This window comes from Homo sapiens, chromosome 14 (assembly GCF_000001405.40).
Source record: "Homo sapiens chromosome 14, GRCh38.p14 Primary Assembly".
Lineage (NCBI taxonomy): Eukaryota > Metazoa > Chordata > Mammalia > Primates > Hominidae > Homo > Homo sapiens.
This window is the reverse complement of record NC_000014.9, coordinates 91190895-91218546: the sequence shown is the minus strand read 5'-3', so window position 1 is coordinate 91218546 and position 27652 is coordinate 91190895. Positions and strand designations below refer to the sequence as shown.

At 47.1% G+C, this 27652-nt stretch overlaps 1 protein-coding gene across 11 annotated transcripts in view; it reads right to left on the bottom strand.

Annotated features, from left to right (window-relative positions):
• Positions 1-27652, bottom strand: part of DGLUCY (D-glutamate cyclase) — a 165300-nt gene that overhangs the window by 7086 nt on the left and 130562 nt on the right. For 9 of the 11 annotated variants that reach the window (NM_001358312.2, NM_001358310.2, NM_001358311.2 and 6 more), the window contains 4 exons: positions 22073-22172; positions 18642-18790; positions 13722-13841; positions 2991-3142 (listed from right to left, as the gene is read on the bottom strand). In NM_001358312.2, the coding sequence (NP_001345241.1) occupies positions 2991-3142; positions 13722-13841; positions 18642-18790; positions 22073-22172 (521 nt within the window). The remainder of the gene's footprint in view (positions 1-2990; positions 3143-13721; positions 13842-18641; positions 18791-22072; positions 22173-27652) is intronic. The other 2 variants (NM_001286472.2, NM_001102369.3) reach the window with 1 other exon arrangement.

Here is a 27652-nt window from a genome sequence, read left to right as displayed (position 1 = left end):
CCTGTAATCCCAGCTACTTGGCAGGCTGAGGCAGGAGAATCACTCAAACCTGGGAGGCGGAGGTTGCAGTGAGCTGAGATTTCTCCACTGCACTCCAGCCTGGTAACAGAGTGAGACTCCATCTCAAGAAAAAAAAAAAAAATCCCCATTTTATGTTCTTTATAAGGGTGGTACATTATTAATTGATTTATGAAGGACTAGGTAGAAATGCAGAAGGAAAAGCTTCCATCTGTGTGTTGGGCTGTGTGATTTGTTTGGCTGGGTTCGTTCTTTTGTGTCTGCGTGAATCAGGAATCATGTGTGAAGCAGCCCTTGCATGTTTTTTTCCAGTTCAGATCCAGGAAGTATAAAGAAAGCACAAAAGGCCCTCTGGGCCCCTCTAGGGCAGACCATTTCCCTCTGAAAATGTCACCACAGCTGCCTGAGCTCCCCCTCCCCCATCTCTCTTCCCTGGCACTACCTGGGACACTTCTGAGCGGAATTGGGAAAAGCACAGAGAATGGAGTCACAGAGACCTAGACTCGGATCCCAGCTCTGCCTCTCAGCTGGGTGGTCTCAGGCAAGCCATCGGCTTCTCAGAGCCCCAGGTCTCTCGTCTGTAAAATGGGAATGACACCACCAATCCAGGCAGGTGCTGGAGAGAAACAGAGGCCAGGGGCAGGAAGGAGAAAGACACAGAGAAACAGAGAGGGAGAGACAGACAGAAGGAAAAAGGGAAGAGACAGGGTGTAAGAAAACAGGAAAGAAAGACAGAAAAGAGGCCGGGCGTGGTGGCTCACGCCTGGAATCCCAGCACTTTGGGAGGCTGAGGCAGGTGGATCACCTGAGGTCAGGAGTTCAAGACCAGCCTCGCCAACTTGGAGAAATCCTGTCTCTACTAAAAATACAAAAAAAATTAGCTGGGCATGGTGGCAGGCACCTGTAATCCCAGCTACTCGAGAGGCTAAGGCAGGAGAGTTGCTTGAACTTGGGGGGTGGAGGTTGCGGTGAGCCGAGATCGTGCCACTATACTCCAGCCTGGGTGACAAGAGCAAAACTCTGTCTCAAAAAAAAAAAAAAAAAAGACAGAAAAGGGGCAGCAATGCGGACGTCTGGTTGCAGACGTTGGGAGGCTATCGGGCCTGCCCACTGGCAGGGGACTTGTAGCGACCACCCACCCAATCTCGGGCTCTTCTGCAGGCTCAGTGCTCAGGACCCTCCGGCCTCTTGGATTTGCTTTCCCATCTCCCCAGACCTTCCACGCCCTCTCCCACAACCTTCGGCACCCACCTCTAATCCCTCAGGCTGCTGTCTGCTCACAGGTGAAGTCACATCTGACCCAGGATTTAGATGTAAAGTCAGAGCTTTGGCCCCGTTTTCCCAAAGTCCAAATTACCTGGGAATATTCCCCAAGTAGGTGTCCCGTTAAGCACTGAGGCATTGTGAATGTCCCGCAAGTCTGGTCCACCAGCTTCTCCTCCAAGAGGGGCAGGTCCCATCTCCTTGAGGAGCCCCAGAGGAGGCGGGTTAGAGCCTGGAATTGGTGTTGGGGGCGGAGCTTGCTCTAAGAGGGCCATGGAAATTGAGGCCCAAGGAAGGAAGGGCCAGTCCCGCTGCCACCTCGCTGCTCAGGCTTGGGTGCTGCGCGCTGGCCACCTCTCTTTTGCATTTTCCCCATATGCATGTGTGAGTTCACATAAGTTAGACGGGCACACGTTGATGCCCTTCCTCTGCACTGGGCTACAGAGTGTACCTAGAACTGCAAACAACACTTCGGAGCATGGGGTCTGCAGTCGGAGGAGCTCAGACAAAAGTTACCTGCTGCTGCCTCTCAGGGAGAGTCCTCAGGGAGAAAGTCACAGTGTCCTTGGGTCCAGCTAACATGATCTGTCCCTTCCCAGGGATTCTTTTTTTTTTTTTTTGAGACAGGGTCTCCCACTCTGTCTCCAAGGCTGGAGTGCAGTGAAGTGAACATAGCTCACTGCAGCCTTGGATTCCTGGGCTCAAGCGATCCTCCCACTTCAGCCTCCCAGGTAGCTGGGACCACAGGTGCATGCCACCAGGCCCAGCTAATTTTAAAATTTTTTTTCTAGAGATGAGGTTTCACCATGTTGTCCAGGCTGGTCTCAAACTTCTGGGCTCAGGTGATCCTCCTGCCTTGGCCTCCCAAAGTGCTGAGATTATAGGCATGAGTCACCGTACCCAGCTGGACCAGGGATTCTTAATGGCCCCAGACTACTTGAAGAATCTGATGAAACCACAGAGTCTTGCGCAGAAAAATACATGTACAGGAACAATTGTGCAAACAGCTTCAGGGGCTCATGGACCTCCTCCTTGTGGGCCTGCGGTCTGAAGCCCTCTTCTACTTTTGTCTCACCCCCTACCTCCTGCTCTCCACCTCAAGAGCTGTCTCCCACAAACCATCACTAAGCCTGTCCTCATCTCCCAAGCCCCTGCTCCCCCCATTCCTCCCGCTGGGATTCCTCTCCTTCTACTTGGCTTATTCCTTGCAGCCTCCAGCCCACAGGATTCTCTTCTCACCTTGTCTGTCCCCCTTAGCACTTTCCTTAGTATGGCTGATTGACTTACTCTGGAGGTTTTAGTGGCCTCGCTGGGTGGTGAATTCCTTGGAGGGGGCTGACAGGACACCTGCCCACCACTAACAGTATGAAGTACCCACCATGGGTGAGGCATTCGGTTCCTCCAACAACAATGCTGACCACCCCCATTTTACAGATGAAGAAAATGAGGCTCAGAGAAGCTAAGCAACTCACCCAAAGTCAAACTAGAAGGAAAATGGTCACTTGGATCAGGCCTGCCACACGATTCAGAACTGCGAGTAGCTTAAAGGGCACCCAATCCAGGAGACCTCTGCTTCAAGGCTGGCTCTGCCTCTGGCTTTTGAGGGGCAGCAGGGTGCCAGCCCTCGGCTTACGGCTTGGGACCTCAGGCCTGCTGCTCATCCAGGGTAAAAGCTGCTTCCAGGCGAGCGGCTGGCTGGGGTTTGTTACCTTAATGACCGACGGGAGGGCCTGAGTCCAGGCCTGATCTCCAGGTGCCCTGGAGGGTCCGACTGCTTTCCTCAGGTACTGACTGTGGACAGCACATGAGTACAGGATGTAGAGTGCGCAGGCCAGGGCATAGCCTCCCCAGTTAGAAACACCTAGAACAGCAAAACAAGATTCCATCATGGAGTTGGAAAAGTCATGTGTCTGTCAGCCTGCCTCTAGGAAGCAGAACTATCTGCAGGACTGGTCCACGGTCCCGTAGCACCAGTATCATCTGGGAGCTTGCTAGAAACACAAATTCTTTGGCCCCAGCCAAGAACTACTGAATAAAAAGCTCAGCAGGAGAGGAGAGGAAAGGAACAAGCTGAATTTTCTTTATTTGTATTTATTTATTTATTATTATTATTTTTTGAGACAAAGTCTTGCTCTGTTGCCCAGGCTGGAGTGTAGTGGTGCGATCTCGGCTCACTGCAACCTCTGCCTCCTGGGTTCAAGCGATTCTCCTGCCTCAGCCTCCTGAGCAGCTGGGACTACAGGTGTGTGCCACCATGCCCAGCTAATTTTTATATTTTTAGAAGGGACGGGGTTTCACCATATTGGCCAGGTTGGTCTTGAACTCCTGATCTTGTGATCCACCCATCTCGGCCTCCCAAAGTTCTGGGATTACAGGCATGAGCCACTGCACCTGGCCTATTTTTATTTTTAATTTTTTTTAGTGATGGGGTCTCCCTCTGTCCCCCAGGCTAGCACGACCATAGCTCATTGGGGTGGAGGCTTAAACTCCTGGGCTCAAGTGATCCCCCTGCCTCAGTCTCCCAAGTAGCTGGGATTATAGGTGCACCTGGCTGAGTTTTGATAAATCCTCTATGTGAGTCTGATCCAAGCCAAAGTTTGAAAACCCTTGCTCTAAACTACTTAATCCACTGCTAATGACCATCAGAAAAAAAGGTTTAGGCAATAACCGTAGAAACCCATTCCAAAACACTCAACATGAAGAAACTCTCCCCTCTGGCTGAGCTGAATCCCCTGTGCCACGTGGAAGCCCACCCTCAGAGGGCAGGAAACAGCCCCGTCGCGCTGGATCGCATGACCTCTTCATGTGCTCAAAGATCACTCCCAAATCAGCCTCAGACTTCCCTTCCTTTTCCATCACATGCCCAAAGGGCTTATTTCCCAGTTTTGGGACCATCTCCTTGGCTCTTCCCTGAAACCTGCTTGAGTTCTCCATGCAGTTGAAGAAGAATTGATGAAGGGCCTGGTAAGCAATAAGTGCTAGAGCACCACGAAAGAGAGGTCAATTCTGCTCAGGAGAGGAGGGACTGTGCACACGGCCAGCCACGGGCCACTATGACTGAGATGTTCACGCAGAATTATGGGAGCATGGAGAGGGGGCACTCATTCTGACTGGTTTAGGAAAGATTCATAGAAAAGGGGTCATTTAATATGGGCCTTGTAGGTTGAGTAAAATTTTGCCAGAAGAGGGGTGGAGGAATGGGAGCAATTCCAGTTAAAAAAAAAAAAGAAAAACAAACAAAAAAAATAACAAACAAAAACTCCCTTGGCCGGGCACGGTGGCTCAAGCCTGTAATCCTAGCAATTTGGGAGGTTGAAATGGGCAGATCACCTGAGGTTAGGAGTTCGAGACCAGCCTGGCCAACATGGTGAAACCCCATCTCTACTAAAAATACAAAAATCAGCAGGGCGTGGTGGAGGGTGCCTGTAATCCTAGCTACTCAGGAGGCTGAGGCAGGAAAACCACTTGAACCCGGGAGGTGGAGGTTGCAGTGAGCCAAGATCATGCCATGGCACTCCAGTCTGGGCAACAGACCAAGACTCCGTAACAAACAAACAAACAAACAAACAAACAATCTTCAGTGAATACAAAGGCATGTGGCATGAAAATACAAGCCATATATCAAAACGTGGCAGGTAAAGACCATACGATAAAAATAATACTGTATTCTACTGATTTTAAGATGTACTTTTGTTACACTTACATCTCTGAAATTGAGATGTATCTTATAATTAATAGTATCTTACAGTTACAATTGGTTGTATTTTCCTTTCTTAGTAGTATGTAAATTATTGTTAATTCTTGTCATCAATAATTATTATTTTTTTTTTTGAGAGCAAGTCTTGCTCTGTTGCCCATGCTGGAGTGCAGTGTTATGATCTCAGCCCACTGCAACCTCTGCTTCCTGGGTTCAAGCAATTCTCCTCCCTCAGCCTCCCGAGTAGCTGGGACTACAGGTGCATGCCAACACGCCTGGCTTAGTTTTGTATTTTTAGTAGAGATGGAGTTTTACTGCGTTGGCCAGGCTGGCCCTGAACTCCTGGCTTCAAACGACCAACCCGTCTTGGCCTCCCAAAGTGCTGGGATTATAGGTGTGAGTCACCGTGCCTGGCTTTTTTCATTTTTTAATAAAGACAGGGTCTCACTCTGTCACCTAGGCTGGAGTGCAGTGGCACAATCATAGCTCACTGTAACCTGGAACTCTTGGACTGAAATGATCCTCCTGCCTTGGCTTCCCAAAGTGGTGGGATTTTTTTTTTTTTTTAGAGACGGAGTCTTACTCTGTCACCCGGGCTGGAGTGCAGTGGCATGATCTCGGCTCACTGCAGGCTCCGCCTCTTGGGTTCACGCCATTCTCCTGCCTCAGCCTCCTGAGTAGCTGGGACTATAGGCACCTGCCACCATGCCGAGCTAATTTTTGTATTTTTAGTAGAGATGGGGTTTCACCATGTTAGCCAGGATGGTCTCGATCTCCTAACCTCGTGATCTGCCTGCCTCAGCTTCCCAAAGTGCTGGGATTACAGGTGTGAGCCACTGCGCCCAGCCTTTTCTTCATTTTTTAATAAAGACAGGGTCTCACTCTGTCACCCAGGCTGGAGTGCAGTGGCGCAATCATAGCTCACTGTAACCTGGAACTCTTGGACTCAAGTGATCCTCCTGCCTTGGCTTCCCAAAGTGCTGGGATTACAGGCATGAGCCACTATGCCTGGCCATCAATGACATCTTATATTCAATGAACAGAGTATCTTCTTTGATTGAATATTTACAACATGTGGCACTGTTGTAAATGCCTTACATAGAGTAGCTCCTGGAGTCCTTACAACAAGCTTGTGAGGTGTAAGTACTATTATTATCTCCATTTGAAAACTGGGAAACAGACACAGAGATGCCACTAAGCCCAGCTAATATTTTAAAATTTTTTTGTAGAGACAAGTTCTCGCTACATTGCCCAGGCTGGTCTCAAATTCCTAGTGTCAAATGGTCCTCCTGCCTTGGTCTCCCAAAGTGTTAGGGTTATAGGTATGAGCCACTGCACCCAGCCTTCTCCTTCTCTTAACATTGTCGTTTGCAGGGCAGAAGTTTGAAACTTTAGTGAAGTCCAGCTTATCAACTGTTTCTTTCACGGATAATGCCTTTGGTGTTGTTATCTAAAAAGTCATAATCAGCCAGATGTGGTGGCTCATGCCTGTAATCCCAGCACTTTCAGAGGCCGAGGCAGGTGGATCACTCGAGGTCAGGAGTTCGAGACCAGTGTGGCCAACATGGTGAAACCCCGTCTCTATTAAAAAAATACAAAAATTAGCCAGGCATGTTGGCGTGTGCCTGTAATCCCAGCTACTGGGGAGGCTGAGGCAGGAGAATCACTTGAACCCAGGAGGTGGAGGTTGCAGTGAGCTGAGTTCATGCCACTGCACTCCAGCCTGGGTGACAAAGCAAGACACAGTCTCAATCAATCAATCAATCAAATTAAAATAAAAAGAAGTCATAATCATACTCATGCTCATCCAAATATTCTCCTATGTTACCTTACAGGAGTTTTATAGTTTTGTGTTTTATGTTTAAGTTCATAATCCATTTTGAGTTTATTATTGTAAAGGATGTAACGTCTATATGTCTAGATTGATTTTTTCTCATGTGGATGTCCAGTAGTTCCAGTTCCAGCACCATTTGTTGAAAAGACTACCTTTGCTCCATTGCATTGCCTTTGCTCCTTTGTCAAACATTGTGTGGCCCTATTTGTGTGGGTCTACTTCTGGGCTGTCTATTCTGTTCCATTGATCTATTTATCTGTTCTTTCACCAATACCACACTGCCTTGATTACTGTAGCTTTATAGTAAGTCTTAAAGTCAGGTAGTGTCAGTCCTCTGATCTCGTTCTTTTTCAATATTCAGTTTGTTATTCTGTATCTTTTGCCTCTTCATATAAACTTTAGAATCAGGTTGTTGATATCCACAAAATAACTTACTGGGATTTTGACTGGGACTATATCAAATTTATTGATCAAGTTGGGAGAACTGACATCTTGACAATATCGAGTCTTCTTATCCATGAACATGGAATATCTCTCCATTGATATAGTTCTTTTTTGATACCTTTCATCAATGTTTTGTATTTTCCTTCATATTTTTAGATTTATTCCTAAGTATTTCATTTTAGGGAATTAATGTAAATGGTAATGTGTTTTTAATTTTAAATTCCACTTGTTCATTGCTGACATATACAATTAAAGTATTTAACTTTGTATCTTGCAACCATACTATAATCACTTATTAGCTCTGGGAGATTTTGTTGATTCTTTTGAATTTTCTACACAGACAATCATGCCATCTGCAAGCAAAGACAATTTTATTTATTCCTTCCCAATCTGTTTACATTATATTTCTTTTTCTTGTCTTACGGCATTAGGCAGCACTTCCAATACAATGTTGAAAATAGTGGTAAGAGGGAACATCATTGCCTTTTTCCTAATCTTAGTGGAAAAACTAGTTTCTCACCATTAATTACGATGTTAGCTGTAGGTTTTTTGTAGATGTTCTTTATCGAGTTCAGGAAGTTCCCCTCTATTTCTAGTTTGCTGAAAGTTTTTATCATGAATGGGTGTTGCTTTTGTCAAATGCTTTTTCTGTATCTATTGACATGAACATGTGATTTTTCTTCCTTAGCCTATTGACGTAATGGATTACATTACTTGATTTTTATTTTTTATTAAAAAATTATTTTATTTTTATTTTTGAGAGACAGAGTCTCACTCTGTTGCCAAGGCTGGAGTGCAGTGGTACAACCCAGCAGACTGCAGCCTCCAACTCCTAAACTCAAGCAATCCTCCTGCCTCAGCCTCCTGAGAGGCTAGGTCTACAAGTGCACACCACCATGCTCAGCTAATTTTTTGCTGTTTTTGTAGAGATATGGTCTTGTTATGTTGCCCAGGCTGATCTGCCCATTTCTGATACAGGGGTGTTGAAGTCTCCAACTGTAATAGTGAATTTGTCTATTTTTCCTTGCAGTTTTATCAGTTATGCTCCCCCCCATCAACTTTTTTTGGGGCAATCTTGGCTCACTGCAACCTCTGCCTCCTCAAGTGATCCTCCCACCTCAGCCTCCTGAACAGCTGGGACTACAGGCATTTGCCTGTAGAGATGGGGTTTTTGTAGAGATGGGGTTTCACCATGTTGTCCAGGCTGGTCTTGAATGTCTAGGCTAAAGCAATCCACCTGCCTCAGCCTCTCAATGTGCTGGGATTACAGGTGTGCACCATTGTGCCTGGCGTATTATGTCTTATTTGAATACTGGCCCCTTTATCATTATGTAATCCCCCTCTTTATCCTGATAACTTTCCCTGTTCTGAAGTCTGCTATGTCTGAAATTAATGTAGCTACTTCTGCTTTCTTTTTATTAGTGTTAACATGGCATATCTTTCTCTATCTCTTTATTGCTAATCTGTTTAAATATAAAGACACATATAGTGTCTTTACAGTTAAAGTGAATTTCTTGCAGACAATATATAGCTCAATCTTGGTTTGTTTTTTGCTTTCTGTTTTATTTTCTTTTTTGTTTTTTGAGATGGAGTCTCGCTCTTTCACCCAGGCTGGAGTGCAGTGGCGTGATCTTGGCTCACTACAAGCTCCGCCTCCCGGGTTAAAGCGATTCTCCTGCCTCAGCCTGCTGAGTAGCTGGGACTACAGGTGCCCGCCACCACGCCCAGCTAATTTTTTGATTTTTAGTAGAGACGGGGTTTCACTGTGTTAGCCAGGATGGTCTCGATCTCCTGACCTCGTGATCCACCCAGCCTCGGCCTCCCAAAGTGCTGGGATTACAGGCGTGAGCCACCGCACGCGGCCTCAATCTTGATTTTTTAAGTTCACTGTGGCATTGACATTTATGGTGATTATTGATATAGTTGGATTAATAGCTACCATATTTGCTGCTGTTTTCTTTATTGCCTTTGTTCTTTATTCCATTTTTTTGTTTTGTTCTTTTGTTTTGTCGTCGTTGTTGTTGTTTTGAGACCGAATCTCACTCTGTTCCCCAGGTTGGAGTGCAGTGGCATTATCTCGGCTTACTGCAACCTCTGCCTCCTAGGTTCAAGTGATTCTCCTGCTAACTTTTGTATTTTAGTAGAGATGGGAGTTCACCATGTTGGCAAGGCTGGTCTCGAACTCCTGACCTCAGGTGATCCACCCACCTCGGCCTCCCAAAGTGCTGGGATTACAGGTGTGAGCCACTGCGCCTGGCCCCATTTTTGTCTTCTACACTTTTTCTGCCTTTTGTGGTTTTAACTGAGTATTTTATATGATTCTATTTTCTCTCCTTTCTTAGCATGTAAATTCTACTTTTAAAATTAATTTTTTAGTGGATGCCCTAGAGTTTGCAACATACATTTACAACAAAGTCTGCTTTGAAATAACAGTATACCACTTCATGGGTAGCACAAGCAACTTATAACAAAACATTGCTAATTCTTCCCTCTCATTCCATGTACCATTGCTGTCATTTGTGTCACTTATTCTATTTTTTTTGAGACAGGGTCTGACTCTGTCACCCAGGCTGTAGTATAGTGGCACAATCATGGCTCACCGCAGCCTCAACCTCCCAGGCTCAGGTGATCTGCCTACCTCAGCCTCCCAAGTAGCTAGGACTATAGGCGTCCACCACCATACTCAGCTAATTCTTCTATTTTTTGTAGAGATGGGGTTTCCCCATGTTGCCCAGGCTGGTATCAAATTCCTAGGCTCAAGTGATCTGCCCGCCTCGGCCTCCCAAAGTGCTACGATTACAGGCGTGAGCCACCGTGCCTGGCCTGTCATTTGGGTCACTTCTACACAAACATACATAAGCATATATATACATATGGCATACATAATGGAATGCACTGTTATTATTATTTTGTGCTGTTATTATTATTTTGAGCAAACTGATATGTAAGGTCAAAAATAAATACAAAAGTTTTTATTTTACCCTCACTTATTTTATTCACTGATACTCTTCCTTTCTTTATGTAGATTCAAGTCTCTGACAGATATAATTTTCCTTCTCTCTGAAGAATTTCTTCTAACATTTCTTGCAAGGCAGTTGTGGCAACAAATTCTCTCAATTTTTATTTGCTTCATAGTCTTTATTTCTCCTTTATTTTTGAAGCAAATTTTGCAGGGCACAGAATTCTGCATTGGTTGCTACCTCTCAATACTTTAAATAGTTCAGTAATGTAAAGATTAAAGGTGGCCGGGCGTGGTGGCTCTCTCCTGTAATCCCAGCACTTTGGGAGGCCAAGGCAGACGAATCACCTGAGGTCGAGAGTTTGAGACCAGCCTGACCAACATGGAGAAACTCCGTCTCTACTAAAAAAATACAAAATTAGCAGGGCGTGGTAGCGCATGCCTGTAATCCCAGCTACTCGGGAGGCTGAGGCAGGAGAATCGCTTGAACTTGGGAGGAGGAGGCTGTGGCGAGCCGAGATTGCGCCATTGCACTCCAGCCTCGGCAACAAGAGTGAAACTCCATCTCAAAAAAAAAGAAAAAAGAAAAAAATAAAAATAGTCCAGTCTCTTCATGCTTATATGTTTTCTGTAGAGAAGTCAAATGAATGTAATTTTTACCTTTGTTCCTGTATAGGTAAAGGGTTTTCCCCACCTGCCTCTGGCTTCTTTCAGAATTCTTCCTTTATCTTTGGTTTTCTGAAGTTTGAATATGATATGTCTAGATGTAGCTTTTTGGCATTTATCCTCTTTAGTGTTCTCTCAGCTTCCCGGATCTATGGTTTGGTGTCTGACATTAATATGGGGGAAATTCTCATTTGCTATTGCTTCAAATGCTACTATTTATCGCTCTCTTTCTTCTCCTTCTAGTATTCCCATTAGTCTAGGTTATACCTTTTGTAGTTGTCCCACAGTTCTTAGATATTCTGATCTGTTGTGGGTTTTTTTTTCCCCCAGCACTTTTTCTCTTTGCTTTTTTTTCAGTTTTGGCAGCTTTTGTTGAGATATCTTGAAGCTCAGAGATTCTTTCCATAGCCATGTCCGGTCTACTAATAAGCCCATCAAAGGCATTCTGCATTTCTGTTACAGAGTTATTGATCTCTATCTACTTCCTCTTTTTTTTTTTTTTTTCCTGAGACAGTGTCTTGCTCTGTCATCCAGGCTGGAGTACAATGGCTCAATCACAGCTCACTGCAGCCTCATCTTCCTGGGCTCAAGTTCTCCTCCCACCTCAGCCCCCCCACGTAGCCAGGACTATAGGTATGCACCACGACACCTGGCTAATTTTTAAATTGTTTACAGAGATGGTATCTTGCCATGTTGCCCAGGCTGATCTACCACTTCTTATTTATTCTTTCTTAAAATTTTCATGTCTCTGCTTGCATTATCCATCTCTTCTTGCATGTTGCCTATTTTTTGCAGTGAAGACTTTATTATATTAATCATACTTTTAAAAGAATTCCAGGTCTGATAATCCCGTCATTTCTGACATGTCTGACTCTGTTTGTAACTTCTCTTCAAATTGTGTTTTTGCTTATCGGTGTTTCTTGTAAATTTTTTTTGTTGTTGAAAGGTGGACATAATTTACTTGGTAAAAGGAACTGCAGCTGGGCCAGGCGCAGTGGCTCATGCCTGTAATCCCAGCACTTTGGGAGGCTGAGGTGGGTGGATCACCTGAGGTCAGGAGTTCGAGACCACTCTGGTCAACATGGCGAAACCCCGTCTCTACCAAAAACACAAAAATTATCCAGGCATGGTAGTGCGCACCTGTAATTCCAGCTACTCAGGAGGCTGAGGCATAAGAATAGTTTGAACCCGGGAGGCAGAAGTTGCAGTGAGCTGAGATCGTGCCACTGCACTCCAGCCTGGGTGATAGAGTGAGACTCTGTCTCAGAAAAGAAAAAAAAAAGAAACTGTAGCAAATGGACCTTTAGTGATGGTGGTAAGATGTGTCGGGGAGGGGAAGGGCTCTGCAGTCCTATGATTAGGTCTCTGCCTTTTAGTAAGCCTGTGCCCTGGACTGTGAACTTCACTACTGCTTCTCAGTTTTGTCCTCTCCCCCTTACGTGGCACAGATTGCTAGAGGGAGCTGGAATTGGGTATGTCCCTCTCCCACGTGGAAGGCTGAAGAAAGGTGGGGTTGGGTATTTCGCTTTCCCCAGGGAGATTTAAGGCCTGTAATCCCAGCACTTTGGGAGGCCAAGGTGGGCAAATCACTTGAAGGCAGGAGTTCGAGACCAGCCTGGCCAATATGGTGAAACCCTATCTCTACTAAAAATACAAAAATTATCCAGGTGTGGTGGCATGTACCTGTAATCCCAGCTACTCGGGAGGCTGAGGCAGGAGAATCGCTTTAACCCGGGAGGCGGAGGTTGCAGCGACCAAGATGGCACTACTGCACTCCAGCCTGGGCAACAAAGCACGCTCAAAAAAAAAAAAAAAAAAAAAAAGAAGAAGAAGAAAGGGAGGAGGAGGAGGAGGAGGAGAAGGAGACGGAGAAGAAGAAGAAGAAGAAGAAGAAGAAGAAGAAGAAGAAGAGAATGCCCTGGCCTACTTGAAAATGACTCATTTTTCCCTCCAATGATGCAAGCACGAGGGGATTTTTTTCTAATATCCATTGTGAGAACTTGGTTGAACGCCCAGAGGCAAAACTCACAAGAGCACGAGGGCCCCCAGACCACTGGGTCGCCTGGAGTTTTAAACTCTCATACTTGCCCATACTGAGCCTCCAGCCATTTCTCAATTACGAATCAGGTTTTCCCACCCTAGCACTGGTTCCCACGAGGTTCCATTCCTTTCCAGGCTATGATCATGAAGTGGGAGAGAGCCTTTTTCAGGGATCTCCCAATTTTCTTGAAATGTGTGGTGAGGTCAAAGGAGGAGGCCACACCTAGACGGACCTGGACACAGGAAAGGTGGGTCCTGCGGGAGAGGAGCAACAGTAGGGAGGCACAGGGCAGCCCAAGGCAGAAGTAGGTGAAAGGAAAGGTAGAAAGCTTCTCGCATCCTCCAAACACTTACCAGATAGTTTTCTTACTGTTCATGCAGATAAAAGCACAGATCACTCTCTTCAGAAAAGCCTTCCTGACCACTGATCTGAAGGGGCCCTCCCATCACCCTCTCTCAGCGACCTGTACTATCGCCCCCAAAGCTCTTATTACTCTTTAGAATCATCTGATGTGTTTATTTGTCAGGGCTCATTCTCTATCTCCCAGTCCTAGAATGGGAGCTCTGTGGAGCAGGGTCATTGCAGCTATAACCCCAGTGCTCAGAACACTGCCTGGCACACTGTAAATGTTTGTTGAATGACTGAATGAAAGGTCATAGGCTGAGCACCACCTCCCCTCCCTGCCCTGGTGCCCTATGGACTGACTGCAGAGAAGAAGAGCTTCTGGCCTGGTCAGGCTCCAAGCCAGGTCGCTCACCCTGGGTAGCCGGCCGGACTGGGCGGCCATCCGAGTGCTCACCAGCAATGACGGCAAAGTCAGCCTCCACGTCGCAGGCGATGACATCCCCGTGCCGTATGTGCCTCCTCACAGCCTCCTTGACTTTACCCATCCCAAGCTCGTTGCCTCCATCACCGACTCCTGAAGGGAAGGGGAGCTGAGTCAGTGCACGGGACCAGGGCAAAATGGGGGAGGCCTGAAGCAAGGCAGCCCTACATGTGCTTGTTGCCTTTGGGAGGGCAAAAAGGTTGGCTCTGGATATATTTTCAGACAACCAGGAGTTGTGGTACTTCCCCTTAGGCCTTCTAGAAACTTCTTTAGTTAAAAATGAGTCCACGTTTGGAACACACTACAGTGTGGGCATGTCTCCTTTTGGGTCACATTCTCCAGCAAAGATGGAGCACGTTCTATGCTCTTGGTGCCAGGCCCATGGGAGATGTGGGTATGGTGACACTCAGGACCTCCCTTCCAGTGGCTCCCGCTCACTGAGCCCCCCGGGGGATCTGGTGCAAAGTCAGTTCTAGAACTTACTTTAAAGGCTTCTGCTGAAAGAATGTGAAATGTATGTGTTTTAGTTCATTTTAATCTATACCACAGGGGTACCTGGTTAACATCTGAAATATCCTAATCAGGAATACACACTCCAAGTGTGGTTAGTAAGCATTTGAAAGAGGCTACATAGTCTTGAGGCCCATCTGATAGTCTGCATCAGAGAATTTGTTAATTAGTGTAATAAATGAATGCTAGAATAAATACATATTAAAAATGATTTAATTCATTGGTGAAATGAATGGTGTTCAAGATAGGTGGATTGGCTAAAAATAACTAGCAGATACCTCTACCCTTGTATGGATAAGATTTAAAAATCTAGTCTGGGTGCAGTGGCTCATGCCTGTAATCCCAGCACTTTGGGAGGCCAAGGCAGGGAGATCACTTGAGATCAGGAGTTCGAGACCAGTCTGGCCAATATGGCAAAACCTTGCCTCTACTAAAAATACAAAAATTACCCAGACATGGTGGCACATGCCTGTAGTCCCAGCTACTGTGGAGGCTGAGCCAGGAGAATCACTTGAAACTGGGAGGCAGAGGTTATAGGGAGCTGAGATCACATCACTGCACTCCAGACTGGGCAACAGAGCAAGACTCCATCTAAAAAAAAAAAAAAAAAACACACAAAAAAACCTATCAAGCCCTGAAGCATGTACCCTTTGAGGTGGTGCTGTAGATCTGGGGGACACAGCTCCTGTGTCCAGGTATTTATAGAGGAGTCTGTAAACTAGATGTTCAGCTGAATCCACCTCTAGAAGAGGGTTACAGCTGTCTCAATAACCTTTCATGCAATGCACCTGTCTGAGTCTCTCAAGGCCAGAGGGCTGGACTCTCCAAGCCTATGGAACAGGTACATCATTGTTTTTGTGTCTGCTTCTATAAAGGCTTGGAAGATGCGGAAGAATTCTGTCAGAGGCTAGTGTTCTTTGTGGGATCTAGAGCTGATCCATCTCAAACATCAGGGAGTGAATTTGGCCAAAAGAATGACACAATTGTGAAGGACCAAACACCTTAGATTTATATCCTGATGGTTTTTCTCAGAACACTTCTCTAGATCTATGACAGCCCACTGAATGAGGAGAATAACACCCAACATGTAACACTGGTATCTGGTCTATAGCTGTCTCTTTTTAGCATCTTATGAATTCCATCTCTTTTGGGCTTCACATCCATCCTGTCATGGGTATCATGATCCTCACTGTATAGAGCTGGCAGTCCCTGATGGGGGCAGTACCTGGGCAGTCAGTGGAAGGTGGAGACTTAAACCCAGGTGACTTGATTCTCAATTGAGCACTATGCCCATGACATGGCAGTTGCCCATGGAACCTGAGGAACAGGGGTTTTGAGGAAGAAGAAGAGAAAAAGGAAAATTCAGGAGGTAGCCTTGCTGGGCAGGAGGGTCTGGGGCGGCGGGGGCCACAGGAGGAGACTGGGCTCCTGAGGCCGTGAGAAGGGCCCAAGGGTCTACAAAGGGGGCGGTTCGAAGCCATGAACGGCCAGCTCCACCTGCCTCCTCTGGGATCTCAGGGTCGTCACAGCACAGATGGGGGTCCCATTGCGGGTGTGGGAGGACGGGATTGCTCTAGCAGCTCCCTCAGACCCTGTTTGCCCCTGTAGCCACAGAGATCTCTTTTTTCTCCACTCTGAGAACCCCTCCCCCACAGGCTGAGGTCCTCTGCCTGCCCAGCCGGAGGGACAGGAAGCTGGAAGCCAACAGGAAGCTGGAAGCCAACAGGAAGCTGGAAGCCAACCGCACTGTGTGCACCACACCCACAGCCTCTTCTGGGAAAAGCCAGGGCGATTTGCAGAAACGTTCTAATCAGCGCAGAAGGCTCTCACTGTCTCATCAAAACCTCAAAAGCCAAAGGAGACTAATGAGTCTGGGAAACACTTGGAAACATGCAATGACAAACAAGTCTTCATTACCCCAGGGCCTGAGACCCACCCAGAGGGAAGAAAGGTTCTCCTTGGGGCTTACACTAAGCCTTTCCGCAATTCATAAAGGCATGATTCCCTGATAAAGGGCTGGGGCCCCAGGAGTCTGCAGTCTACTCCTAATGCTACCAGCAACACTAATTAGCTGCGCCATCTGGGAAAACCTCCTGGGACTCACCTTACCTGCCTCACAGGGTTTTCACAGAAGCTTAAACACTACAATGAATGTGAAGCCTCTTGGAAAAGTACAAAGTTTTGTGCAAACACAAATTATCACATTATTATTATTATTATTATTATTATTTTTGAGACAGAGTCTTGCTCTTGTCGCCCAGGCTGGAGTGCAGTGGCGCGATCTTGGCTCACTGTAACTTCCACCTCCTGGGTTCAAGCAATTCTCCTGCCTCAGCCTCCTGAGGAGCTGGAATCACAGGAGCCCACCACCATGCCTGGTTAATTTTTTTATATATTTAATAGAGACGGGGTTGTGCCATGTTGGCCAGGCTGGTCTGGAACTCCTGAGCTCAGGTGATCCACCTGCCTCAGCCTCCCAAAGTGCTGGAATTACAGGTGTGAGCCACCACGCCCAGACCATATTATTATATTATTAACGACTGAAGGCCAGGCTCAGTGGCTCATGCCTGTAATTGAAACAGTTTGGGAGGCTGAGGTGGGAAGATAGCTTGAGCTCAGGAGTTCGAGACCAGGCTGAGCAATATAGTGAGACCTCATCTCTACCAAAAAAATGTTTAAAAGTTAGCCAAGCAGCCGGGCATGGTGGCTTACACCTGTAATCCCAGCACTTTGGAAGGCAGAGGCAGGCGGATCACGAGGTCAAGAAATCGAGACCATCCTGGCCAACATAGTGAAACCCCATGTCTACTAAAAATACAAAAATTAGCTGGGCGTGGTGGCATGCGCCTATAGTCCTAGCTACTCGGGAAGCTGAGGCAGGGGAATTGCTTAAACCTGGGAGGCGGAGGTTGCAGTGAGCCGAGATTGCGCCACTGCATTTGAGACAGGTAACAGAGTGAGACTCCATCTCAAAAAAAAAAAAAGTTACCTGTCAGGCCTCTGAGCCCAAGCTAAGCCATCATATCCCCTGTGACCTGCACGTATACATCTAGATGGGCTGAAGCAACTGAAGATCCACAAAAGAAGTGAAAATGCCAGTTCCTGCCTTAACTGATGACACTCCACCATCGTGATTTGTTCCTGCCCTACCCTAACTGATCAATTGACTTTGTGACAATACACCCTCCCCGCCCTTGCCATAATGTACTTTGTGATATTCCCCTGCCCTTGTGAATGTACTTTGTAAGATACACCCTCCCCACCCTTGAGAAGGTACTTTGTAATATCCTCCCCCACCCTGAAGAAGGTACTTTGTAATATCCTCCCCCACCCTTGAGAATGTACTTTGTGAGATCCACCCCCTGCCCGCAAAAAATTGCTCCTAACTCCACCACCTATCCCAAACCTATAAGAACTAATGATAATCCCACGACCCTTCGCTGACTCCTTTTTCGGACTCAGCCTGCCTGCACCCAGGTGAAATAAACAGCCTGTTGCTCACACAAAGCCTGTTTGTGGACTCTCTTCACACAGACGCACGTGACATTACCCAAGCATGGTAGCACACCCTGTAGTCCCAGCTACTTGGGAGGCTGAGATGGGAGGATTGCTTGAGCCCAGGAGGTGGAGGCTGCAGTGAGCTGAGATTGTACCACTGCACTCCAGCCTGGGCAACAGAGTGAGACTCTGTCTCAAAAAAAAAATTGAAATATTAATCATATATTAGATAATTTTTAAATTAACATGCTTCACAAAATAATATATGGTACATTCTGTCCTATATGACCAAAATAATATGCCATGCCTCAATTTTACTATTGATATTACTTTAATATTAGTTTTATTACTTTAGAGTCAGGCAAATAGAATATGCTTTCCCTCCCTTGCTTGTGAGGATGTTGGATTTCTAAATGGTGGTGTCATTAGTGTCTATACCAACCGTAATGAACAAAGACCGTCTTTGCAGTGGAAAATGATGGTCCCCACATAACTCTTTCTGGTCGTGTGTTCAATAGTCAATAAAAACACACTTAGGCTGAGCACAGTGGCTCACGCCTGTAATCCTAGCACTTTGGGAGGCTGAGGTGGGTAGATCACTTGACGTCAGGAGTTCCAGACCAGCCTGGCCAACATGGTGAAACCTCGTCTCTACCAAACATACAAAAATTAGCCAGGCGTGGTGGTGCATGCCTGTAATTCCAGCTACTTGGGAGGCTGAGGCAGAAGAATTGCTCGAACCCAGGAGGCAGAGGTTGCAGTGAGCCAAGATCGTGCCACTGCACTCCAGCCTGGGTGACAGAGCAAGACTCCATAACAACAACAACAACAAAAGACACTTCATGGGGCCACGTTCTTGGTGCATCCCCAGTACTCCATACTTACCAGTTGATGAGATTCCAGGAATCTTCTTCGCAGCAAGAAAAAGATCGTCAATGGGGTCAACCAAGTGCTTGATGTTCATCTTCCTTGCATTGTAGTAATTGCCATCAGCAGCTCTTCCGGCACGCTCTATGGCCACCAGGTGGTCAAATCTGCCGGGAAGCAAAGGTCAGAGGTCAGAGGGTCCTATGGAGAGGTGGCTGCTTTGCTGGGTCATGCCTTCTTGTGTTTGCGCGAAAGACGCTTCTTTTTTTCTTTGATTCCTTCATTCCTGCAGAACTTGGTGGCACATCTACTCTGGGCCAGGACCTGTGCTGGAGACTAGTCTATTAAGTCAGTTTAAGATATAGCATTGGGGCTGGGCATGGTGGTTCATGCCTATAATCCCAGCAGTTTGGGAGGCCGAAGCAGGTGGATCACTTGAGGTCAGGAGTTCGAGAACAGCCCGGCCAACATGGTGAAACCTCATCTCTACTAAAAAATTAGCTGGGCGTGGTGGTGGGTGCTTGTAGTCCCAGCTACTCGGGAGGCTGATGCAGAAGAATCACTTGAACCCGGGAGGCAGAGGTTGCAGTGAGCTGAGATCGCACCACTGCACTCCAGCCTGGGCGACAGAGTAAGACTCTGTCTTGAAAAAAAAAAAAAATCCAGCATTGGAATCCTCAGCAATTTCTTTAGTAGGGTCAGAGGCTATAAAAGCAGGAGGCCAATGGTCAGGGTTGCTATGGGGATGGGAACATTGCTGGTGCCCACTCAGATCCCCTTTGTCCAGCAGGGATAGCCAGGCCAAGAGGCTGAGAGTATTGGCTGCTATTGGCCTGCTGCTGGCCCCTTCCAGGATCTTGTTCAGTTTACAGACACAAAACAGAAGGAAAAGGGCTCAAAATACAAAAGGAGTGAGTCTAACACAAAGATAAACTTCTTTAGATAGAAACAGAGAAATAAGGGGCACAGATGGTATAGTGGTCAGAATGTGGGCTGTGGCAGCAGATCATCTGGGTTCTGATTCCAGGTCCTCCTGCCACGGGCCTTGGGCAAATTGCTTAACCTCCCTAACCTTCATTTTCTGCATCTGTAGGGTGACATGACCACACTGTGTACCTCACACAGTGTTCAAAGGGAAACATGAGAAAATGCACAGGAGGCGCTTGTCATGAAGCCCTGAACCTACTCAGTGCTCAGTCAGTGTTGGTTACAGTGATTATTGTTGCTATGATTACTAGCAGGACTACTGTTTTGACAATCCAATTTAAGAACATGCAGGCTGGGCGCAGTGGCTCATACCGGTAATCCTAGCCATTTGGGAGGCCGAGGCAGGCAGATCACTTGAGCCCAGGAGTTTGAGACCAGCCTGGGCAACATGGTGAAACCTTGTCTCCACTAAAAATACAGAAATTAGCCAGGTGTGGTGGCGAGTGCCTGTAGTCCCAGCTATGCTTGGGAGGCTGAGGTGGGAGAATCGCCTGGGCCCAGGAGGCAGAGGTTGCAGTGAGCCAAGATCACACCATTGCACTCCAGCCTGGGTGACAGAGTGAGACCCCGTCTCAAGGGGGAAAAAAAAAAAAGGCTGGGCACAGTGGCTCATGTCTGCAATCTCAGCACTTCAGGAGGCTGAGGCAGGTGGATCACCTGAGGCCAGGAGTTCGAGACCAGCCTGGTCAACATGGTGAAACCCAGTCTCTACTAAAAATATAAAAAATTAGCCAGGTATGGTGGCGGGTGCCTGTAATCCCAGCTTCTTGGGAGGCTGAGGCACGAGAATCACTTGAACCCGGGAGGCAGAGGCTGCAGTGAGCCAAGATTGTGCCACTGCACTATAGACTGGGCGACAGAGCAAGATTCTGTCTCAAAAAAAAGAATATGCATATTGTACTTTTACATCTCTCTCAATCCTTCCAAGACAGTGTTTTTCAAAAATCTCAACTCTGCTATATAAAATAGTATGGCCATTCCTCAAAAAATTAAAAATAGAACATACCATATGATCCAGCAATTTCACTTCTATGTGTATGTCCAGGAGAAGTGAAAGACTCAAGGAGTTATTTGTCCACCCATGCTCATAGCAGCAGTATTCAGCATAGCCAAGAGCAGGAAGCAAACCCAGTGCCCACTGACAGATGAATGCAAAAACATAATGTGGTCTATACACACAAGGGAATGTTATTCAGCCTTAAAAAGGCAGGACATTCTGGCACATGCTGTGACATGAATGAACATTGAGGACATTATGCTAAGTGAAATAAGCAGTCACAAAAGGACAAATATTGGATGATTCCACTTACACAAGGTGCCTCGAATAGTCAAACTCATAAAGACAGAAAGTAGAATTGTGGTTGCCAGAGGCTGGGTTGAGGAGGAGATGGAGAATTATCTTTGAATGGAGCACAGACTTTCAGTTTTGCAAGATGAAAAGAGGTCTGCAGATGGATGGTGATGATGGCTGTACAGCAATGTGAGTGTAGTTTTACGCCACTGAAGTGTAAGCTTAAAAAACAGTTCAGAGAGGCCAGGTACAGTGGCTCACACCTGTAATCCCAGCACTTTGGGAGGCTGAGACAGGTGGATCACCTGAGGTTAGGAGTTCAAGACCAGCCTGGCCAACATGGCGAAACCCCGTCCCTACTAAAAATAAAAAAATTAGCGGCCAGGCGCGGTGGCTCATGCCTGTAATCCTGGCACTTTGGGAGGCCAAGGTGGGTGGATCACTTGAGGTCAGGAGTTTCAGACCAGCCTGGCCAACATGGTGAAACCCCATCTCTACTAAAAATAGAAAAATTAGCTGGGTGTGATGGTGCGTGCCTGTAATCCCAGCTACTTGGGAGGCTGAGGCAGGAGAATCACTGGCACCTGGGAGGCGGAGGTTGTAGTGAGCAGAGATCGCGCCACTGCACCCCAGCCTAGGCAACAGATAAAGACTCCATCCCCACCCCCTAAAAGAAAAAAAGTTTGACCATAACACACAGTAAGAAATACACACACTTGCATGTACACAGTCTTATGAGGGAGTACTTGCCATTACTATACAAGATATACAATGATGCTGTATTTCTATTTCATTTTCCAAAGGTGCTGGATACCCTAACTGAAATGATTTCACTATTCTCTAACATGTCATGACCCACAGTTTGAGACTGAGAAACTTTTTTTTTTTTTTTTTTTTTTTTAGTGCTATGTCTCCCCTCTATCAGGAAGATATGCTGTCTCTCTCTGCTGCCCAGGGACCTGTTACTTCCAGAGATGTTCTGTGAGGCCCCCAGGATACCTTGAAACCCCCCAGCCTCATTTGTTAGTCTGGTCCATGAGAACCCATCTTCCTTGGCTCATGGCTTCGCTCCCTCTGAAGGGCTTGGGTGTGCAGACACTTTGTTGGCTAAGTGAAGAGCATATGGGCGTTTCCACCATCCGCCACTTAAACTGGGATGCGACATACGTACCTAGGTGTCTGCGGGTCCCCATTTTTGCACAGGAATGCCTGAGCAGCTTCCACTGATCCACCTTGGTAAGTTAATATCGGGATCTGCGTCTTCAGAACACCTTGAAAATAAAGGCAAGCAGGGCACACATCAGCTCTAGTGTTGGCTTTTGGAAATTCACGTTGGCTTTTCAAAAGCTTCTTTGAAGGGTATCATTACTGTTGTTGAACAACATCTATCTGTAGAACATGTTAGGTAAGCCGAGGCCATGACACAGAGGATATTTAAGTTTACTTTTGGTCCTGGGTAAACTCTAGGGTTGACGGGGGTGGAGGGCAGAATCGGGCTAACACAGCCTAACAAATATGCTGCATGTAAGATGCCCATAATACCATGGGAACAGCGGCCTGTTCTGGCCCACTGCCATCACGAGGGCTGAGCATACATTTATGTGCCCTCGGTGACAGTGCGCCAGCCACTGTGATTTAATTTTTACAACAATTCCATGTGATAAAAACCATCATGGGCTGGGCACGGGTGCCTCATGCCTGTAATTCCAGCACTTTGGGAGGCCAAGGTGGGCGGATCACGAGGTCAGGAGATTGAGACCATCCCGGCTAACATGGTGAAACCCTGTCTCCACTAAAAATACAAAAAATTAGCCCGGCGTGATGGCAAGCGCCTATAGTTCCAGCTACTCGGGAGGCTGAGGCAGGAGAATTGCTTGAACCTGGGAGGCAGAGGTTGCAGTGAGCCGAGATCACGCCACTGCACTCCAGCCTGGGCAACAGAGTGAGAATGCATCTCAAAAAAAAAAAAAAAAAACAAAACCCAAAAAACCATCATTATCGCGATTTTAAAGATGAGGAAAACTGAGGCTCAGAGATGCCAAACAACTTGGGCAAGGCCATGTATATATGTCAGTTTCATGGCTCCAATTCTCACCCCAAATTCTCACCCACTCCCTACCTCCCTGCATACCTTCAGGGAAGGTCAAGAACAACTGAAGGAAATTCCCAGAGTCTGTGCCTTGGGATACTTACTTATATTGGAGTGATTTCCAAAAGTGAATCAAAGTGAATTTGATTCTTAAAAATAGGACCTTTTCTAATGACAAAAAGAACACGTATTGTTGTAGAATATGTGGGAAATACACAAAAATCCCAAAATAAGATAAAATGAACTTGGTTTTCATTAACCGATCTATCTCACAGCAGGTTGGGATAGAATCCCAGCATAGTCACTGGCCAAAGATAAAGTCTTCACACAGAGCTTAAGACGGCAGGGAGCCAGGAGCAGGGTGTCTTGGACCCACTGTTATGGTCTAGCTGGTCCTGCAGGAGCTCCCAGACTGCTCTGTAGCCCAGGATGGCTGCCAAGGTAGCCTTGGAGGAGCTTCAGCCAGCTCCTCAATCTCCATCATCAGCCCCTCACACCCCTCACGTAGAGCCAGCCCAAGGAGGCACCGTACCCATGTTAAAACTGCATGCTTGTACTGCAAATGCAGCTTCCAGACAGCGGCTCCCACCCTCAGCTACTCCGCCATGCTGCTGCCCCTGAGCTCTTTGGGAGCTGCCACTGCCACCCCAGTGGGTCAATGGGGCAAGTTGGCATGAGGAACAAGAATCATTGTCAGAAATCTTAAAGAATCCCTCACTGGCCGGGCACGTAGCTCACACCTGTAATCTCAGCACTCTGGGAGTCTGAGGCGGGCAGATCACGAGGTCAGGAGATTGAGATCATCCTGGCCAATGTGGTGAAACCCTGTCTCTACTAAAAATAGAAAAATTAGCTGGGCGTGGTGGCGGGCGCCTGTAATCCCAGCTACTCAGGAGGCTGAGGCAGGAGAATCACTTGAACCCGGGAGTCGGAGGTTGCAGTGAGCCAAGATCGCGCCACTGCACTCCAGCCTGGCAACAAGGCAAAACCCTGTCTCAAAAAAAAAAAAAAAGGATCCCTCACTGTGGCTCCTTCCCCATCCCCCCTCCCTAACCTCAGCCCACATCTAAGTGGGGAAGGCAAGTAGCTGTTAGTCATCGTGATGCTCACAGAACACATTCTACATGTGAAGCCATAAGCTGGCAATTTGGGGTTGGGGGACAGTCACAACAAAGGGGAATGACCCAGCCCTTCCCTGTGCTGTGAGGGGCAGCCTGCCAATCTGGAAAGGGGGCTGAACTTAGAGCCAAACAGCCCTCGGTGGGAACGTCACATCATTCCCTTGCTATGTGACCTTGGGCAAGCTATGTCAGCCATTGGTTACCTCCTCTACAAAATGGGGTAACACCCACCTCCCAGGACTACCGCGACAGGGCAATGACATGCTGTGTGCTAACTACCTGGCTGGCCGTCGTGCACACGGTCAGTGCTAAGTAAAGGATGTTTCTTTCTTACTGCCTCAAAATTGGATCAAGGATATAGGATACTAGTAAAAAATACCAGGGAGTCCAGGAAGGCAGGGAACATAATGTATCCCAAAGTGGGGAACACACGAGAAAGGACACAGGAGAATCCCCAAAAAGGAGGGTCTGGGCAAGATGAGGTTCCCACTTCTGAGCTATGAAGAAAGAGCTATGGTCTGTCTATGCTCAAGACAGGAAAGAAATGACAATGCCTAGTCAGCTTTAAAACTCCTTTTTTTTTTTTTTTTTTCTAAGATGGAATATCACTCTGTCGCCCAGGCTGGAGTGCAGTGGTACAATTTCAGCTCACTGCAACCTCCACTTCCCAGGTTCAAGCGGTTCTCCTGCCTCAGCCTCCCTAGTAGCTAGGACTACAGGCGCGTGCCACCACACGCAGCTAATTTTTGTATTTTTTGGTAGAGACGGGGTTTCACCATGTTGGCCAGGCTGGTCTCAAATTCCTGAGCTCAGGTGATCTGCCTGCCTTGGCCTTCCAAAGTGCTGGGATTACAGGGGTGAGCCACTGCACTCAGCCTCTTTAAAACTTTTCCTAGGCTTTGGTTATTAAAAACGGAGCTGAAATAATTTTCATTAAAAGGCCAAATTGCTTTTACTTTCTTCATGCAAATGTAATGTAAGTTCTGTAAAATCCAATATAGCAAATTCTACCCTCTGAGCTCCCATGAGGACAAGAGACAAGACCCAGCTCTGAGTGGAGTCTGGCAGGCGTCTCCAAGCCAGGCTGTCAGGTGAGCAGAGAGGGCAGAGTGACTTCTGGGAAGGGGGCAGCTGAAAATACCCAGCAACACCGTTGTCAGATGGAAATGAGGTTGGCCTGTGAATGGTGCTCTACGCCGTCGGCAGCCCTTCCTCCCGAGGCCTTTCTCTGCCCTACGGAAACACGGCCCCTTGCCTTTCCTCTGGCCTCAGCGCTGCTCCTTCTCGTCTCCCTCGCTGGCTGTTCTGCCCTTCTCCTCATCCTCTTAACACAGGGAGACCCAGGACGCAATCCTGGGTCCTTTGCTCTGCCTCCATTTATTTCCACAGTGCTCTCACCCAGTAGTTTGACTTGAGAGCCCACCAACACGCCAACAGCCTCCCAATTTCTCCTTGCCCACGCTGCTCTCCTGAACTCTTTATATATCACTAACTGCCTCCTTGACTTCTCCACTGTGTGTCTAATAGACGCACCTCATACCTAACAGGGTCAAACCTGCATTCTTTTAAAAATTATGGTAAAATACGTGCAACACAAAATTCACCATTTTAGCCTTTTTATTTATTTATTTTGAGACACAGTTTTACTCTGTCACCCAGGCTGGAGTGCATTGGTGCGATCTTGGCTAACTGCAACCTCCACTGTCAGGGTTCAAGCGATTCTTGTGTCTCAGCCTTCCAGGTAGCTGGGATTACAGGTGTGCACCAGCCACCACGCCTGGCTAATTTTTGTATTTTTAGTAGAAATGGGGTTTTGTTATGAGACACACAGGTCCTGGTGGAAACGGGGTTTTGGACAGGCTGGTCTTGAACTCCTGACCTCAAGCGATCTGCCTGTCTCGGTCTCCCAAAGCGCTGGGATTACAGGCGTGAGTCACTGTGCCCGGCCTGTTTTAGCCATTTTCAAGTGTATAGTTCAGTAGCATAAAGTATTTCACATTGTTGTGCAACCATCACCCCCATTCATCTCCAGAACTTTCTCATCACCCCAAACTGAACCCCTGTACCTATAAACAACTCCCCATTCCCCTCTCCTCCCAGCCACTGGCAACCACCACTCTACTTTCTGCCCTATGAGTTTGCCTACTCTAGGCATGTCATATGCGTGGAGTCATACAATACGATTGGCTTAATCCACTTCTCAAGATGTCCTCGAGGGTCATCCATGTTGTAGCATGTGTCGGAACTTCCTGCCTTTTTAAGGCTGAGTAATAATTATATACCACATTTTATCTATCTGTTCATCCATTGATGGGCACTTGGTTTGGTTCCACCTCATGACTGTCGCAAATAAAGTGCTATGAGCATTAGGGAACAAATACCTCTTGAGTCCCTGCTTTCCTTTTTCTGGGGTATATGCCTGGAAGTGGAATTGCTAGACCATATGGTATTTGCTGTTTTTAATTGTTTGAGCCACTGCCATCTGTTTTTCATAGCATCTGCACCATTTTACAATCCTTCCATCAGGGCGCAAATGTCAAACCTGGACTCTTGATTTACCCCTAAACCTGCCAGTCTTCCCCATCTCAGTTCACAGCAACTCCATCCTTTCAGTTACCAGGACAAAAACCTTAGAGCAAGCCCTGATCCTTCTCCTCACACCCACACCCAATCCATCTGGAAATCATGTTGACTGTACCTGCAAAATAGATACAACATCTGGCTACTTCTCACAATACCCCCTGCCCTCTGTATCTGTACTTTTTGTCTCTTTGGGTTTCTTTGAAACCAGAACTTGAGACTTGGGTGCAGATGGTCTCTTGGGAGATGGTGCCACGAAGCATGTGGGAGGGAACAGGGAGAATGAGGCTGGGAAGGAGGGAACGTGCACCTTCAAGGTTGCTGCTCTAGGGAGTGGGGCGTCAGTTCCACCAGGACCTATGTGTCTCCAAAAGACAGGGAACTGTCCAAAAGACAGTCACTGTGCCCGGCCTGTTTTAGCCATTTTCAAGTGTATCGTTCAGTAGCATAAAATATTTCACATTGTTGTGCAACCATCACCCCCATTCATCTCCAGAACTTTCTCATCATCCCAAACTGAACCCCTGTACCTATAAACAACTCTCCCCATTCCCCTCTCCTCCCAGCCACTGGCAACCACCATTCTACTTTCTGCCCTGTGAGTTTGCCTACTCTAGGCACGTCATATGCGTGGAGTCATACAATATGACTGGCTTAATCTACTTCTCAAGATGTCCTCGAGGGTCATCCAAGTTGTAGCATGTGTCACTTACACCTCAGGTCCTGTCCCCCAGGGGTTGAGGGTGCCCTGAAGCCATCAGCCAGTGATTCCACATGGCTTTGGAGAGGCCCTGCAGGGCCCTAGCTTGTGGCGGGGTCCCATCGGGTCAGTGTGACTCAGAACATCCACCGCAGTGGCAGCTGAAATCAGAAGTGCGGCTGAAGGGATGTGCCATGAGGCACCCCCACTCCAAACCGTCCTCCTCTCCCACCTTCCATAACTCACCAGTCTCCCGTTTCC